The sequence below is a fragment of the Homo sapiens genome, chromosome 6 (genome assembly GCF_000001405.40).
Source record: "Homo sapiens chromosome 6, GRCh38.p14 Primary Assembly".
Taxonomy (NCBI): Eukaryota; Metazoa; Chordata; class Mammalia; order Primates; family Hominidae; genus Homo; species Homo sapiens.
Genome location: NC_000006.12, coordinates 39,216,640 through 39,233,790, shown reverse-complemented (window position 1 = coordinate 39,233,790; position 17,151 = coordinate 39,216,640). Strand labels below are relative to the sequence as shown.

At 50.6% G+C, this 17,151-nt stretch overlaps 1 protein-coding gene across 2 annotated transcripts in view, besides 5 other annotated features; it reads left to right on the top strand.

Moving 5' to 3' along the window:
• Positions 3,011 to 3,738: an enhancer, noted in NCBI's record as "H3K4me1 hESC enhancer chr6:39197829-39198556 (GRCh37/hg19 assembly coordinates)". NCBI's record gives its function as "activates a minimal SCP1, AML or CMV promoter by ChIP-STARR-seq in primed H9 embryonic stem cells {active_cell/tissue: H9 hESC(primed)}" and the evidence as "EXISTENCE:reporter gene assay evidence [ECO:0000049][PMID:30033119]".
• Positions 4,026 to 4,375: a silencer, noted in NCBI's record as "silent region_17165". NCBI's record gives its function as "represses an Ori minimal core promoter by ATAC-STARR-seq in GM12878 lymphoblastoid cells {active_cell/tissue: GM12878}" and the evidence as "EXISTENCE:reporter gene assay evidence [ECO:0000049][PMID:35858748]".
• KCNK5 (potassium two pore domain channel subfamily K member 5) overlaps positions 4,316 to 17,151 on the top strand; it is a 40,505-nt gene continuing 27,669 nt past the window's right edge. For both annotated transcript variants that reach the window (XM_005249456.2, NM_003740.4), the window contains exon 1: positions 4,316 to 4,865. In XM_005249456.2, the coding sequence (XP_005249513.1) occupies positions 4,680 to 4,865 (186 nt within the window). In that variant the 5' untranslated portion in view covers positions 4,316 to 4,679. The remainder of the gene's footprint in view (positions 4,866 to 17,151) is intronic.
• Positions 4,476 to 4,555: a silencer, noted in NCBI's record as "silent region_17164". NCBI's record gives its function as "represses an Ori minimal core promoter by ATAC-STARR-seq in GM12878 lymphoblastoid cells {active_cell/tissue: GM12878}" and the evidence as "EXISTENCE:reporter gene assay evidence [ECO:0000049][PMID:35858748]".
• Positions 5,569 to 5,638: a silencer, noted in NCBI's record as "silent region_17163". NCBI's record gives its function as "represses an Ori minimal core promoter by ATAC-STARR-seq in GM12878 lymphoblastoid cells {active_cell/tissue: GM12878}" and the evidence as "EXISTENCE:reporter gene assay evidence [ECO:0000049][PMID:35858748]".
• Positions 7,824 to 8,118: an enhancer, noted in NCBI's record as "tiled region #4644; HepG2 Activating non-DNase unmatched - State 10:DNaseD, and K562 Activating DNase matched - State 5:Enh". NCBI's record gives its function as "activates a minimal TATA promoter and a strong SV40 promoter by Sharpr-MPRA in HepG2 and K562 cells {active_cell/tissue: HepG2 | K562}" and the evidence as "EXISTENCE:reporter gene assay evidence [ECO:0000049][PMID:27701403]".

Genomic DNA, 17,151 nt, shown 5'->3' with positions numbered 1-17,151 from the left:
ATCTCTGGAGATGAGACCTGCAGAAGTTTCATTATTTGTTGCTGTCAAGGTGAAGCTCAACTCCATCCTGTGGATGAAGAGTCAAACTCTGTAGAGTATTTGAAGAGATTTATTCTGAGCCAAATATGAGTGACCATGGCCCATGACACAGCCCCAGGAGATCTTGAGAACATGTGTCCAGCGTTATCAGAGTACAGCTTGTTTTTATACATTTTAGGTTATAGGTGAATTCGAAGATTTTCTGATTGGTAGCTGGTTGAGTTTATCTAAAGACCTGAAATCCGTAGGAGGAAATGTCTGGGTTAAGATAAGGGGTTGTAAAGACAAGGTTCTTATTATGCAGGTGAAGCCTTCAGGTAGCAGGCTTCAGAGAGAATAGATTATAAATGTTCGTTATCCAACTTACAAAGGTGCCAGACGACCCCGGGAGCGCAGGGAGCGCTCCTGCAGGAGCATTTCAAAATAGGCCAAATGAATATATTTTGGGGTAAAATACTTCGATTTCTCTCAGGGCCTGCTGTCATGATTCTTATTGCTACAAAGAGTCTGTACTGTCAGTCTTAAGGTCTCTGTTTTTTGGGTTTTTGTTTTTTTTTTTTATTGAGATGGAGTCTCTATCATCCAGGCTGGAGTGCAATGGTGCCATCTCGGCTCACTGCAACCTCTGCCTCCCGGGTTCAAGCAATTCTAATGCCTCAGCCTGCTGAGTAGCTGCGATTACAGACATAAGCCACTACGCCCAGCTAATTTTTGTAGTTTTAGTAGAGACAGGGTTTCACCATGTTGGCCAGGTTGTGCCTTAAGGTCTCTGTTTTAATATTAATGCTGGTCAGCTGTGCCTGAATTCCAAAGGGAGGAAGTTATAAGGAGGCATGTCGGCTGGGCGCTTTGGATCACACCTGTAATCCCAGTGCTATGGGAGGCCAAGGTGGGCAGATCAGTTGATGTCAGGAGTTTGAGGCCAGCCTGGCCAGCATGGTGAAACCCCATCTCTATTAAATATACAAAAAATTAGCCGGGCGTGGTGGCTCATGCCTGTAGTCCCAGCTACTTGGGAGGCCGAGACATGAGAATTGCTTGAACCCAGGAGGCAGAGGTTGCAGTGGGTTGAGATTGTGCCACTGCACTCCAGCCTGGGTGACAGAGTGCGACGCCCTCTCAAAAAAAAAAAAAGGAGCCATGTCCAACCACCCATTCCATCATGGCCTGAACTAGTGTTTTGTGTTTACTTGAGAATGCCCTTGGTCAAGAGGAAGGGTCCATTTGCTTGCTTGGGAGGGGCCTAGAATTTTATTGTTGGTTTACATTCCTCAGAGCTGATTGCCTTCCAAAAGGTTGCACTCTGAAATTATTATCAACCCTGATCAATAATCATAATACTAAGAACTACACGTATGCTATTGGAATGGATTTATTTATCAGCCCTGTAGGAAAATATATATCTCACATCACCTCATTCCCATTTACCCACTTTTCCCTTTTCCAATCTTAAGGCTCGTGTTGTCTAAATATTCGATAGTTTCAGCACAGTTTACATTTTATAAAAGCCCCCACTGGCTGCTGTGCAGAGAGCAGGTGTGTGCCCCTGATCTACAGAAGGTCAAGTTGATCCAACTATCTGGCTGGGGCAGGGGAGTTGGAGAGGGGAGTGGGGAGATGGGGAGGGGAGGGGAAGTTGGGGGAGGGGAAGCACATTCAACTGGGATGGAGACAAAGGAGAGAGGCAGGAGGAGGGAGAATGAAGAGCTGGGGAAGGAGCTTTGGAAAAATACAGGAAAGCAAAGGATGCGGCGACAGAAGGAGAGGATGAGGAGTCAGTCAGCACCACATGGAGAGCAAGAAGGAAGAAGGGGACAGGAAATGCAGAAACAGAGTGGAAGGACAAAGAAACTACAACATACAGAGGCCTCGAATAAAAATCAATTCATCTCAAAGTGTTCAGCATTTTCATGAGGCTGTGAGACCGAAATAGGAAGAGGCCCTTTATTTTCTTAGGAAGAGAACACAGACCGGAGGTGGGAGAGGAATGGTAGGGAATTTTCCAAACAAAGAGAGGGCCTGTGGCCTCTCAAACTGCCCCCACCCCATGCTCACTGAAGCGTTCACACTGCAGCCCTGAACTCTTCACAAACAGGGTGAACTCCATCCAGAGAGGGGGGATCCGGAACCCATGCTTGGTTTCCATCCCAGCTGGAGGGCTGGAGAATGAGACTGCAGAGCTAGGGTTCAGGCCACAGCCTGGGGGACAGGGTAGGCAGGAGGTCAGCAAGGCTTAGAGAAGATGGATATGTTGGGTTGGGTGAGAGGCCTGGTGCTGGGAGTGGGTTGTCTACAGAGAAGCACCCCCAGGGCCTTGTCCAGGATGATCCTTGGCCAGGGGGGTCCTGAGGGGACTGGCACTGCACACCTCAGGGATGCAGTATCAGGAAATCTGGGGCTCCCCAGCTTCCTGCTCTGGTCTTCTTCTCTGGACACGCTCATGTTGCCATAAGGAGAGACAGAAACATCAGCAAAATCAGATCAATGCTTCCAACTGTATCCCTAACCCCTCCATTCCAGCCAGATTTGGAGATAGTACAGATACCCCCCTCCCCAAGTAAAGTGTCTCTTGACACCTTGGGGTTCAGGCCACAGCCTGGGTACAGGGTGGGTAGGAGGTGAGAAATGACTCCCCTTCTTCTCGATGGAAAGAAAAGGCCTTGGCCAGGGGACAGTGCTCAGGGACTCTGGCCACTCCAGTACCTGCCCCTACAGAGGCCAGAGAAGGGCAGGGCCAGCCCCTGGTACAGAGCACTGAAAGGAGGTTCCCCCTCCAACTTCTGACTGGTGCTGGTTGAAAGACTGAACAAACTAACCCACTGAGCTTTTTTCCTCACTGCAAAGTGGGTCGAATGACAGGGCCTGCTTATGATGCATGGAAGGGATTCAGTACTTCCTGGGGTTTACAAGAGCTCAGAGAATGGCAGCAAGGCGAGTTAGAAACATCCTGGGCACCTGTTTTTAACAAATTCATTCACTCCTTCATTGCACACATGGTTATTGAGTGTCTGCTATGTATGTAACAAGCACTGTGGATACATCATTACACAAGACAGATTCTCCATCTCCCCAGCAGACATTTCCGTGTGTGTGTGTGTGTGTGTGTGTGTGTGTGTGTGTCTGTGTGTGTGTGGCGGGGAGAGGGCACAATACAGAGTAAACAATAAATAAAGTTATATAATATAGCAGAGGGAATTTAGTACTAGGAAGGACATAAAGCCAACGAGGGAGATAAGGTGGCGGGGGTGGAATTTTAAATCAGCTGGAGCATATGTATGAAAGTGGGCCGGGCGCGGTGGCTCACGCCTGTAATCCCAGCACTTTGGGAGGCTGAGGCGGGCGGATCACCTGAGGTCAGGAATTGAGACCAGCCTGGCCAACACGGTGAAACCCCGTCTCTACTAAAAATACAAAAATTAGCTGGGCGTGATGGCGTGCGCCTGTAGTCCCAGCTTCTTGAGAGGCTGAGGCAGAAGAACTGCTTGAACTCGGGAGGCGGGGGTTGCAGTGAGCCGAGATAGTGCCACTGCACTCCAGCCTGGCGACAGAGTGAGACTCCGTCTGAAAGAAAAGAGGAAAGGAGAGGAAAGGAGAAGAGAAAAGAAAAGAGAAAAGAAAAAAAGAAAAGAGGCCAAGTGTTTCCCGTAGAGATACTGTGTATTGGGGGGGCGCACAGGGGTGCCACGAATTGAGCTGCCCACTCCTTCCAGATGCAGGGTTCTCACCCGGGTAGGTGAGAACGGGGTGAGGGGGAGGAATCACGCGTGGGTGGCTGGATTAGTTCCTGATGTCCTCTGATTCCCTACAGCTTCTTCAGCCCCGTTCTAACCCCCTTCCTCAGGCTTACAAGAAAGTGTGTGGAAGAGAGACACGGAGAGACTGAGCATTAGACTTTTTTGGAAGAAACATCAGTAAATGAAAATGGAATTACAATAAAAATAACAAAAGCAATAAACTCCTGACCTCAGTCACAATCATTTTAGTTAACACGCCAGTCCTAATAACAAACACGAGTCCCTGAGACCGCAACCCCTCGGGCACCGCAGGGCGTGCAGGTCTGGGCGGGCGGCGCAGCCTCCCCTGGCGGCTGACCCTGGGAGCGCGGGGAGCGCCAAGCCTCTTCTAGCGCTCACCTCGCGCTCACTCCTGCGCTCGCCGGGCTGCTTGTGCGGGGAAGGGGCGGGGCCCGCCTGGGCTCCTCCCCGGTCGGAGCCCGGAGCAAGGGGGCAGAGCGCGCCGGGCGCTGGTTAAAGAGGCGTGCGGAGGCGGGCGCGGCGCATACTGCTAGTGGCGCGCGGAGGAGCGACGCGTGGAGAAGCGGCCCACGTGTCTGCCCAGAGTCAAGTCCTGTGTTCTTCCCGCTCCTTACGCATCCGCGGTCCAGGGCGCCCTTTCAGCCCCGCTGGTGTTCGCCCACCCCGGGCCGCGTGAGTGGGGCCCCACGCAGCTCCCCGCACTCCGTGGGCCAACTTGGCCAAGCAACTCTGTCCGGGGAGCGGTGCTTGCGGGGGGTGAGTACCGGGCACTGCGCATGCGGAGCTCCAAATTCAAACAGCTGTTTTCAGAGGCTGGAGGGCGGGCGGACTGGTAGCAGCTGGGGCTAGGAGAGGCTTTCTCTAGGAGGCGGCCGCTCGGGAGCCATGGTGGACCGGGGCCCTCTGCTCACCTCGGCCATCATCTTCTACCTGGCCATCGGGGCGGCGATCTTCGAAGTGCTGGAGGAGCCACACTGGAAGGAGGCCAAGAAAAACTACTACACACAGAAGCTGCATCTGCTCAAGGAGTTCCCGTGCCTGGGTCAGGAGGGCCTGGACAAGATCCTAGAGGTCAGTCGCCGCCTGTACCCCCATATACATCTGAAGCTGGCTTGAGCTTTAGGGGGCGCTGAAAGGAAGACCCCTTCACAGCTTTGGGTGACCCTCAGTCCCTGTGGAAGGTCCAGGGGGTGATGAGAGAGCGTGTCTCATCATGGGTCAGGCTTCGAGGATCTGTCGCTCACCCGAGGGACACAGGGGTCCCCCAGGCGCGGAGACTCTTTGGAACTTAGTTTGGCCGGAGACAAATTGGAGTTGATTCCCGGGTGAACTAGGCTCCACGGTGTTTCAGTGTGGGTGTGACGGTACCTCCCTCCTTGGGAAGAGGCTGTGGGACGGATAAAGGCGTTTATCTTTCCCTGGAGACGCTCCCGGAGTCTGGGAGCCAAGCCTGGTGCCATCCCCTCGTGTCTCCACCTCCCCGCTCCAGGGCCAGTGCCACGCCTGCCAGGCTTTTCTTAAGGAACGTGAACCCGGCAGAGTGGCGGGAGGGTCCCTCAGCCCGAGCCTGGGCAAAATCTTCCGCCCCCAGCAGAGTTCCGGAGAGGAGCTGGAGGCTCTGTGGGGCCCGAACCCACGGGATGAGGGCTGGTGCCTGGAATGCTGGGGACGCGCTCAGGCTTCCGGGAAGGCTTATCTCGCGGAGACATCCTTCAAGGGCTTGGAGTAAAACTTTGTGAAAGTAGCAGGTTGCACAAACGAATAATACCCGCGTAGTCCCTTTATGATGGGGGAGGAGAGTGTGTGCGGAATTGGGGTGGGTGGGGGACTTCCCTCCGTGCTGACATTGGGAACCGCTTATTTTCTGGTGCACAGCCCGATGGGTGGCATTGACCTCACTTTGGATAAACGGGCTGCCTATCCTGGCTGAGACCTTGGGGCCCATTTGGGGACCGAGGCCCTCTACCCCAGTTTCTCGAGGGCTCAGCTTCAACCATCAACTCTTCTTGGCCTGCTCCCCCAGTGGAATGACCAGGACCTGGGTGAAAGTTCTAGATTGCAGCAGGTAGGGAGTAGGGGTAGATTGTCCAGGGTGTTACCTTGCTCTCAGGGTGAAAGATGCCAGAAAGGAGGTCTGATGAGAAGCAACGTTTAGTCTACAGCAGCACCTCAATACTTTATGCCTATCTAGTCGTCGCTCATTTTCCAGCCTCCGTTTCCCCATGTGAGAAACGGGAATGAGCCCATCCTCATTCCTTATTTCTGCCACGGACTGTTAGGTTGGAAGCATTTGGAAAACATCAAAATCTTGTCCCCAGATTGATGGACATCACACAGATAAGCATATACGTATTTGCTGGCAGCCGTGTGTGGGGAGACTTGTCCTCCAAGGGGTCCTGTAGAAGGGGAGGTTTAGTCTAGCAGGCTTAGTGTTGGATTTTAGTGGAGAGTCTCTTGCCCTGTAGCAGTTTCCCGGGTAGAGGCAGATGGGAGGTGATGGTGGGGAGGATAAGCTTCAGTAGATGGTTGGTTGGTTTACCTCCTAACAGCAAGAGTCCTGGCATGAAGAGTCTACATGGCTTCCTTCTGATGGGCGTCTACCCTGGGGGGTGTGTTGTGGGGAGGGGGTTGCTTTATGATTTCCCTTGAGGAAACAATTCCTCTAGAGAACAAGTTTTTGTTTAGTTTGTTCCAGGGCTTTGTTTAGAGGGGGAAGAGGGCAGGCAAGGATGATAAAGCCTTGAGCTGCCCTCGAAGTGTTTCCCTCTAAGCTGTTGCTCCAACACTGCAGGGGAAGGAAGGAAAGAATTCAAGGCTAAATGTGGGAAAATAAACTTCAAAACACAAGGCAAAGGGAAAGGCTGGCGGGGCATACGGCGGGGGGGGCGGGGTCCAGGGGTTAGGCAGCCGGGTGCAGCTGGTGGTCATAGCTTTGGAGGCTAGACGGCTTCTTAAGGTATTTGAACAAACAAAATGCCTCTTATTTAGCAGTCCTGTTAAATCTGTCAACATTTACCCCCCTACCAAAAAAAAGTAATGGGCAGGTAATTTTTAGAAAAAGGACTTGGGCATCAAGCCAGTCTGCTTTGGAGGCTATTATAGATAAGTTCTTGAACAAGGACAGCCCTGTCCTCATCCCCGGCCAAAGAAACTCCCAAACCAACCCCAACTGGGCGAGTCCCTTCCCGTCATAGGAAAAACCCCAAGAAATGAAAATGGACAAGTAGAAGCATTTGCTGACATCAGTTTTAATCTGCAGAAATCTGCCTTGCTCTGCTTTCTTGTGACTTGGGGTACTGCCTCAGGCCTCAGGATATTGGTTTAAGGAAAAATGAAAACTCAAAAATCTTCTTTCCCATCTGGCTGCTTGGGCATTTTCCACCTGACGCTCTGTGTTTTAGCTGGTTCTGAATCACCTTGGAATCATGAAGGAGCCCCTAGCTAGGAATTCCTGGGGTACAACCAGGGGTGGGACAAAGATTGTTGGAAGAGATGGGGTGCAGTCTGAGTTGGGGTTTCTCTTACCCTGAAAGTTGTGTGTGCTCTTTCAAATGTGTGAGAAAGGGAGTTAAGTCAACTTTCTTTAGAAATACCCCCCGAATTGTCAGATACTTCCTTCCCTCCGCTGTGGTTGAAGTGAGGTGCAGGCTGACTTTCAAGTGCTCAGTGACCCGCCAGCCTGGGACCACGTGATCGTCCTCTTTCCTGTCTTCAGAACCATCTTGAACCCTTGCTCTCAAGCAAGATCTTTGGTGACTCATTCTCCCAACCTCTTCCTAAATTGCAGACTCACACAAGGGAAGTTAACATTTACAGCACACCTACTCTGTGTTGGGCATTGTGGGTGCTATTATCCTCATTTTATGAGAGAGGGCACAGGCTGGTTTTGCCATCTGGCTCGGCCATTTACCCATCAAGCCATGTAACTTAACTTTGCCTTCCTTTCCTCATCTGCAAAATGAGTGTTTGGTGAGGCTCCAATAGAGTAGAAACATTAGGCAAGATGTCTATAAAAAGTGAACAGGTCTCCTGACCTTAGCATTTATTGAGGAAGGCAGCTTTACCTACCTGCCTTATTTCAGGTACTCTTTACAGTATGTATTCAAGTAAGCAAGCTGAAGCCCAGAGAAGATAGAATGGCCACAGGGACACCACAGGAGGCACAGCCTATGGGGCGGGACGGGGAGGGGCAATGACCAGGCAGTCTGCCCCAGGAGCTTGCACCTCCCTCTTGGGCCTGTGAAGATTGTTGCTCTGTAACTGAGCTTAGGAAATTGGTTCAGCTGGACCCTGATCTGCTGGAAAATTCTATTTTCTATTTCCCCTAGCACAGGTAATGGCATACAGGCGTCTCCTGTGTTGTTGCCTGGCTGACCCAGCACCTCTGTTACTGAAGTAATACATCAGTCCACCCCTCTGCGCTTCTCATTTTGGAAGTCCCCAACCCCTGTCCCACCAAAAACAGTGGGGGTGTGATTGAAGGGGAGGAAGGACAGCCCTTCTCAACCTTCTGCCTCTGGTGGGCAGTGATCAGAAACAGGAAGGATTTGAGAGCCCACCGTGCACCAGACCACTTTGAATAAGCACTTTATATACATTCTTATTTTAATTTAATCTTGCAGGCCACCTCATAAATGAGGAAAATTAGGGGAAAAGCCAGTGTAACTTGTCTGGGATCACATAGAGCGGAGTCAGTTTTCACATCTAAGTTTCATGTTTCAAAGTACATGGAAATTAGCAAGCATTTATTAAGTATCCACCATGTGCCAGACACTGGGCAAGACTCTCAGGATACAAAGAATTAGGCTACACTCCGAGCTGCTGGAGAAAAGGATACATAAACCCACTGGGAACAAGACAGTGGGTGTGGGCTACAGAAGAGGTTTTCAGGAGGTCGCTTAACGAGGGTCTGGTCCAGCCTGAGGGGTCAGGGAGGGCTCTCAGGAGATGACCTCAAGCCAGAGTGGGGTCTTGGATTAGAAAGAACAGCTGGGAACCTGGGAGGTCAAAGCTGCAGTTAGCCTGGATTGCGCCACTGCACTCCAGCCTGGGCAACAGAGCAAGAGCTTGTCTCAAAAAAAGAAAAAAAAGATTAAAGAAAAAAAAAAACCTAACTGGTAAAGGAAGGGAGAAGAGACTCCTAACAGAAGATGGAGAGTGGCCCTTTCTCCTAGCCTGGGGAAGGCAGACTGCAGGTTTCTTGCTGTGGCTCTAGAGAGTCCCTTGTCTCCTGAGGGTGGAGCAGGGTTGCCCTAGGTCCTGCCCTCTGTCTAGCATCCCAGACCAAAGTCCAGGTTTTGCTTGACTGCTCATATAGCTGACCTGTTCCCGGAAGCCTCTTGGATCCCACTGGCCTCCTTCCTTCCTAAGCTCCAAAGTGCTTTCTTGTGTTCTAAGGTTTTCCATATGTACCTCCTTTCATTTTCTGGACCCTTTGGACTGGTCTATACACACTCCAGTCCAAAGTAGTAAGGCTAGTTCCAATTTTGAGGTTCTGGCACTCTTTTAACACCAATCCTGCTCCCCAGATTTGAAAAATAAAACCATGAAATATATGACAAAATTACATGTGGCCAAAATGCTTAGAATGGGGTACATTGAATTTTTTGGAAAGTTGAGGGTTAATATAAACACCCTCTTTGTCTCAGGCCTTGTTGGAAATTGTGAAATGCACTGGTCCACTTAACCGCCTTTGTAAGTAAAAGGAACACAATAGCTCTTTTGGTTATGGAGGATCTTGGAGGCCTCCACAGCCTTGGGTCCGAGCTTGAGTTCTTACTGGCTAGGACTGCAGAAGTGGAAAGTGGATAAGCTGGTTTTTTGAGAGGAAATTGAAGAGGTCCCTTCCTAATGGCTTGTTTCTTATTTATGTTCCACTCAAAAGTTGAGGGTAGCCAAAAAAAAAAAAAAGCCTTAGTCTGCCTTAGTTAACTGCTCTGGTTAGAGTTTTTTAACAGTGAAAGTAAATGTTTATTACATTGCTTTGAGCGTTTGACTAGAACCCTTAGGATGATTACAGATGGCACAGTAATAGAGAATTATTGAGGGTAGAAATTAGCAAGTGTTGAAAGTTTCCAGTGGGGGTGGGGGATGCAAAGGAGGTGATGATTGTTGCTTTTAAATATTTTCCTGGGGTTTTGCCCTATTTATAGTCTGGCGTTTAGAAGAAACAAAATCCCCCGGTTTTGGATGCTGTGCTTGGCTGGCCCTGACCTCGGGCCAAAGGCTTTCATCTTGAACTTGGCTGTTTGCTGGCAGATTGGGCTCAGCCTCTGAACTGTGTGTGTGGTTGGTGGTGGTGGGAGGAGGGAGAGAAGTGCAAGGTTTTGGGGAGCAGAGGAGCCAGGCCCCTGAGTGGAGCCTCCAAGACAGTCTTTGTCCAAATTGGGATGCTGTATTTGCATGGTGCTGCAAGAACCAGTTGGCCAGAACTGGGGTGGTACAGAGAAGTGAGGTAGGAGACCATAGGAAAGCACATGAAATAGGTTTGCCTCCTTCCAATATTCCTTGTAGGGAGTGGAGAAGATGGAAGCGAATCTCTTTGAGATTTCATTGAGTCCCCAGGGACCTCTGGAATAACGCAGAGGAACCCTTGCCTGTTCAGTTCTTCCCAAGTATGGCTGTACATAGAGAGAGGATGTGCTGCCCTCAGTAGGGATCTTTGTCCAGCTGCCACTGCGGGGCCTTGGTGGTGTTGCTGAAGGAATCACCAACCAAGCAGTATGTCTGATGGTTGTGGGAGTGGCCTCTGAAGCCACACCATAGTTTGCTTAGAATAGTGTATGGCACATCGTAAATGCTCACTAAGTGTTAGCTGCCATTTCTGCTATGCCCAGATATTCCTATGCTGCAATGGAGCGGTCCCTGCACAGGTGTGGTGGGAATCTAATTGGTATTACAAAGAATCAGGAAGGTCTTCCTAGAACAGAGAGAACGTCAACTGAATTTTTTAAACGCAAAAAACACAGAAACATATAATTTACCATTTTAGCCACGTTTAAAAGCCCAGCTCAGTAGTGTTAAGTATATTTACCATTATGAAACAGATCTCCAGAGCTTTTTCATTTTGCAAAACTGAAATTATACCCCCTTCAACAACAATTCTTCTCCCTCTCTACCCAGCCCCTGGGAACCACCATTCTCCTTTCTGTTTCTGTGAACTTAACTACTTTAGATGTCTCCTAAGTGGAGTCATATAGTATTTCTTTTGCTTTGTACAGTGGTACAACCACTGTGAAAAATAGTATGGAGTTTCCTCAATTAAAAATAGAACTACTGAGTGATGCAGTGCTCCTACTTCTGGGTGTGTATCAACCAAACTTCTAAAGAACTAGAAAAGGGATGGGGATGGTGGCTGTCTCTTGCCCATAGCCCTTGGGGAGGTGTTCTGCAGGATGGACCCAACAGGCTGTAGCCACAGGCCAGGGAGGTGAGAGTCACATGACTAAGCTCTTCTGGGTTGCCAAGGAATTTGAACTCCATCAAATTTTTGCAATTTTCAAGTAGGGGAGGGAACAACATTTCAGAAAGTTTCCTCCACAGCCATTTACAGCTTAAAAGAAGTGGAACATTCTACTCTAAAATAACGACATTTCTGTGGGCTGATCCCTTCACTCTGTGGGTGTTCTGATAAGGACACCCCCTCCTTCCTTTCTCCTGCTGATGTGATGTAGTGTGGGTTTTCCCAGAAAGCTCATATTGCCTACAGCCCCCAGAAAAACCCACTGACCTTCACACTCTAGTTCTTTTCCTACTACGAGCCCCTTAGGTCCAGGTCTGGGTCCCTGGCCCAGCCAAAGACATTCCGTCTCCCGTTTGGTGACCTTCCCAGATTGCATCTTCGCTATCCCTTTATGTAGAAGTGGGGGTGGTGTGCTCCAGTTGTAGCTCTGTTCAGCTGCCTAAGGCCTCTAGGCTTCTGGTGAGCAGTTATCCCAATCTCTGAACCTCAGAGACCTGGATACAGTGGAGTTGGAAACACAGAACGGGCCCTCCCTACTGGCTATCCTTTCTGTGCTTGATGAAACCTCAGATATTGGAGAGTCTTTAACCCTCTGGAGATCAGTGCAGCTGAGGAAAGATAATTGGGCCGCAGTGGTGAAATGAGAGGAAATACAGTCCAAAGTGCTCAGTGGTGGGTTGTAGATGGAAGAGGCTGGAGAGATGGGCAAATGTTGAAGGGGCTGGGGGGATTCATTTTCTGTTTTCTGAGGCCTGTAGCCAAACTCCTTGGCCTGTGGAAGACCTGGCTCCAAACAAAACACAGCCCCTGCCCTCAGGGGGCCCCTAACCTGGAGGAAGAATAGTAAGGAGCTGCTACCAGATTGATGTTGGTAAGTGCACCTGGGGACTCCAGGTGTGCACCAGGGCGAGAGATGAATTTTTACTTCTGCGCTTAGAAGAAGGCAGGCTTGGAGGGTGAGTGGCATGGGCAGTAGCCCTGTGAGCATTCTGTGGAGTGCCTACCAGGTGCCAGACATTGGGCTGGGATGTTACCTGTGTCTCCTTGAACCAGTTTTGTGGGCTAGGTATTGCTATTCCCATTGGACAGGAAACCAGAGGCCAGGTGACTTGCCTAGGTCTACACTGTTGGATAGAGGACTGAGATTGAATCCCTCTTGTTGACTTGGAAGCTTCGGTCTTGTCCATAAGTGGAGGTGGAGTCGGGGGCTGGGAGTGACAGGCTTGGGCAACCAATAGTTACAAGCACTTACTTGGCCACAGGCTGTGGGGGCCACAGGCTGTGGGAGCCACTGATGTGCATCATCTCACTGAATCATGGCAGCCACCCTCTGCAGTAAATTCTGTGATCAGCTCGACCTCACAGTAGAAGCAACAGAATGGACCATAGAGATTGAATAACTTGTCTGAGGCTATGTAGCTAGGAAGTGGAAGGATGAGGTTTTGAACCCAGAGCTCACACTGTGAACTATTCTCTTCTATGTGAGGCTACCTTGAAGGTGGGGCAAAGCAGGGAGCAAAGCATAGAGGCGAGAAAGTGCAGGGCATATGTGGTGTCCTCAGAGTCTTAGGGTGCATGGGGCTAAGAGTTCAGGATACTGAGCTGTGTGACTTCATTGAGCTAGTCATCTCATCTGCAAAATGGGATAATAGTACGGTATGTCCGTCATGCCCATAGGGTCTATGTTAACATGTTAGTGTGTTTGGCACATGTAACAGGTGACTGGCTACGTATTAACTGCTGTTCCTGTACCCAGTTCCTCTGTGTACTCTGTCCCTGACACCACCCTGCAGGACCCATCATGCAGTGAGCTCCTAATCTGGAGATGGGGACAAGGGAACATGATAAAACCCATCAAGTTTCTCCTACTGGAGTCAGTCACCCACTGTTTTCTGTGTCCTGCAAATTAACCACCTAAAACAGTTGATGGTCAACACCTAAAAATAGGGACGGTTTCCTTCTTTCTCTCTTCTAGCAGGGCTCTGCTCAGTCCTGGCTTGTCCCAGGCCTTGGTTAAAAATTTTCTGGAGAATTCCTGCGTCCAGATGGTCTCATGGGTATTCTCCTGGGATGATGGTTACCCAGGGTCTGGGATCAGAGCTGGGCCCTCACTCGAGGCAGACACCACCCACCTCCCCTCTCATCTTTGATTGGCTTTGAAATGTGCATTCTTTTTCCTCTCCTCCATCTAAATATTTGGGTTTCCTGCTGAAATATTTAGGCAGGGCTGTGTACTTCTGGCTGTTGTCACCTCCCGTGCCCCACTGTAATCTGGCTGCAGCTGCTTAGCTGGGCCCCTGCTATGAGCGGGGATGCTTGCCCCCTGAGTCTGGGAGAGAAGCTGTGCAGCTGGTAGCAGGACCCCCTTTGTTCAACGGTGTAGTCTCCAGTCCTGCAGGGCTGCCAGGGGCCTTGTTGGCCACACTGGGTGGGGAGGACACAGCAGAGCCCCCTTCCATTTGTCTGAGTGCTTCTGTGCTTGGGGCTAGGGATGAGGAACCCTCATCTGAACTACTGTGTAGCAGAAAACTGATTCTAACCTGTGTTCTACTTTTACCTGTACTCCGGTTTATGCTGTGTGCCCCTGGCCATATTTTCCCTCTCTGGACTCGTCCATTCATTCAGAAAGGCTTGGAGTGCTAGTTAGGTCCAGCTAGACCATTTGCAACCTTCGTGGGCAGTGGCCATGTCTTCCCAGCCCTGGGCCTGTGTTGCCAGGCCTAGCTCTCAGGATGCTCAGTGAGTGTGTGGATTTCAGTCTTGCTCAGTTTGTTGTGTCCGTCTGTCCAGCACTGTGCTCAGCTCAGGGGGATGCCAAAAGCTGTGTGGCCCTTTTGGTTGGAAGTCTAGTCAGTGCAGCCAAGCCTCTTGCAAGGTCACAGCAGAGTGAATGAAGCCAGGTGCCCCAGGCCCAGACTCTGGTCCTTGGTCTCACAGGCTCTAAGTCATGGAAGGGGTAGGGGTGCCATTATTTTATTTTTATTATTATTATTTTTTGAAACAGAGTCTCACTCTGTTGCCCAGGCTGGAGTGGAACCTGGTTAAGGACAGGTATTCAAGTCACACCTGGGATTTAATACCACCTCTCTGCCTTTACAAATTGTGAGGCCTTGAGCACATTGCATCATCTGAAAATGGAACTAATTATACCCCCCTCGCAAGAGGAAATGCCTGTAAAGCTCACTCAGTGCAGCTTCCAGCTCGAGGCAGCCTTCAAGACCAGCTTATTGTTATCCTCTCCCCTTTGAGGGAGGGACTTTACAGAATAAACTGCTCTCCCTGCCTGAGTCTGTTTATCTCCAGGAGCCCCCTCTTCTTCTTCCCCTATCCCCCATCCCTTGTTCCATCAACTTTTCCCGAATTCCTTTCCCCTGTGAAATAAGGCCCAGGCAGCAGAGGTCAGCAAGAGTACACTGAGCAGGTCTGCCCTTGGTGCTGGAGGGCAGCCGTGGTTTTTGCTTTCAAGGAACTTGAGACAGAGCAAACCATCCAGCTCCTCATTCAGCAGATATTTTACTAAGCACATACTGTGTGTCCAGACCTGTTCAAGGACTGCTGCAAGAGAATCAGCCCTGGTCCCTGCCTCTCTGTGGAAACCAAGAGGGCAAGTTGGACGAGCTGGGGCAGGAGAAAAACATCCCCTTGACCCTTCCTTGTGAAGACTTCTTTAATTTTCAGAGGCTTCTGAGAAGTGCAGTTGGCGGGGAGGCCCACACTGTTTGCAGTGGAGAAGGGCAGTTCCCTAGCTGGGGGCACCTTTGGCATGACTGGAGCCTGCACCACTCCAGGGGGAAGGAGCAGAAGTATTTGCAGGGTGTTGCCAGCAGCACCAGGTACACCACCCAGTCCTCTAAGAGGCTTGCAGCTACACAGACTGTGCTCGTGTGCATCCCAACCTGCCCTTACCATGGGTCTCTGCGGACCCATTCTTCTGAGACCTCCCTTCTATGACTTTTGTGGGCCTGACTCTGGGAGGTCTGGCAGCCAAATGGATGCCATCCCATTCACTAGATGGGGACACCAAGGCCTGGTGAGGATTAGCTGGGGGCAGAACAGTCTCTAGAACCAAGTTCAGATTACTCTAACAACACGGCCTACCCAGATCCAGGCCTTTCTTCTCTGGGTCATTCTCACTTTATTTCTAATCCCTTTTAAAATGGCCCATAGGCTGGGCGTGGTGGCTCATGCTTATAATCCCACCACTTCGGGAGGCCTAGGCGGGTGGATCACAAGGTCAGGAGTTCAAGACCAGCCTGGCCAACACAGTGAAACCCTCTCTCTACTAAAAATACAAAAATTAGCTGGACGTGGTGGTGGGCACCTGTACTCCCAGCTACTCAGGAGGCTGAGGCAGGAGAATCGCTTGAACCTGGGAGGCGGAGGTGGCAGTGAGCCAAAATCGCGCCTCTACACTCCAGCTTGGGTGACAAAGCTAGACTCCATCTCAAAAAAAAAAAAAAAAAAGGCCTGTAAGTCAAAAAAGCTCTTGATGGTATTTTGGGGTGCAGACTCCTTCTACTTACACTAAACTGACCTACCTGATTTCCTAACCTGCCCCAACACACCCGTTCCTGTGATCTTGAGCACCAGCTTCTCCTCCCACTAGTTTTCCAGATAAGAGGCAAAAGTTGAAATTGTGTTGAACCCCAGGCTGGGAAAGGAGGATGTTTTTCTGGGCCAGCCAGGGCCTCAGGCAGAAAGGATCCGATGCCTCCCTGCTCCCCAGGGAGTCTCTCCAGCCCTGGACTTTGCTCCTCCTGCGTCTGCGCCCAAGGAGCTGTTGGCTGGTTTCTCCAGCCTGTCTTGGAGGTTGGCAGGGGGTGGCTCACGCTCTGGGCATTTCTCGTGGCGGCAAATCATAAAATGTGAGGCTGGAGGGAGCTTAGTGGTTATTTAACTGGCCTCCAGCCTCCTGAGTCAAGGCCCAGACCTTTGGAGGTTATGTAACTTGCCCAAGGTTACTCTGCTCACCAGGGGTGGGGGAAGTACAATAAAAGAGCAATTAGAGCTAAGTGGGGGCAATTAGGGAAGGCTTCTTGGAAGCAGTGCCCCAAAGAAGAGATGAGCTGAAAGGGGATTGCCACGTGTCCTAGTAGGGCTCCCATCAGATCACTGCTCCAGCAGTCAAGGATCCTGACAGTGAGATCGTGATCTCAAAACTCAGAAGACCCGCCAGCATCTCCTCCTTTGCCCTTAGACTAAGCCAAAGCCCTGGCTGTGGCCCTGAGTGATTTGGACTCTGCTGCTTGTGTGATCTCGCCTTTCTGGACCCCTGCCGTTGATCCCAGTCAGCCACACTACAGACAGGAAACTCCAGGGGCCAGCTCCTAACAGAGGAGAGGCATTCCACACCCCTGCACACTAATAGCCAGTTTCTTTTTCTTTTCTTTCTTTTTTTTTTTTTTTTTTTTTTTTTGATGGAGTTTTGCTCTTGTTGCCCAGGCTGGAGAGCAATGGCATGATCTCGGCTCACTGCAACCTCCGCCTCCCGGATTCAAGCGATTCTCCCACCTCAGCCTCCGAGTAGCTGGGATTACAGGCATGTGCCACCACACCCAGCTAAGTTTGTATTTTTAGTAGAGACGGGGTTTCTCCATGTTGGTCAGGCGGTTCTCGAACTCTTGACCTCAGGTGATCTGCCCGCCTCAGCCTCCCAAAGTGCTGGGATTAGGGGTGTGAGCCACCACCGCGCCCGGCAGTGAGTTTCAACTTTTACAAAGAACTCAACGTTCGTATCCACTGATGACAGAAAGGACTTTGGGAGGTGGTAGCAAGGATAGTCACACCAGCCCCGCATGACAGCCGTAACGGGAGCTGCCGTGGCCTACATCATGTCGACTTCCCAACAATGATAAGTGACAGGCACTGTGGGGAACCTAATTTTGCAAGGCAACT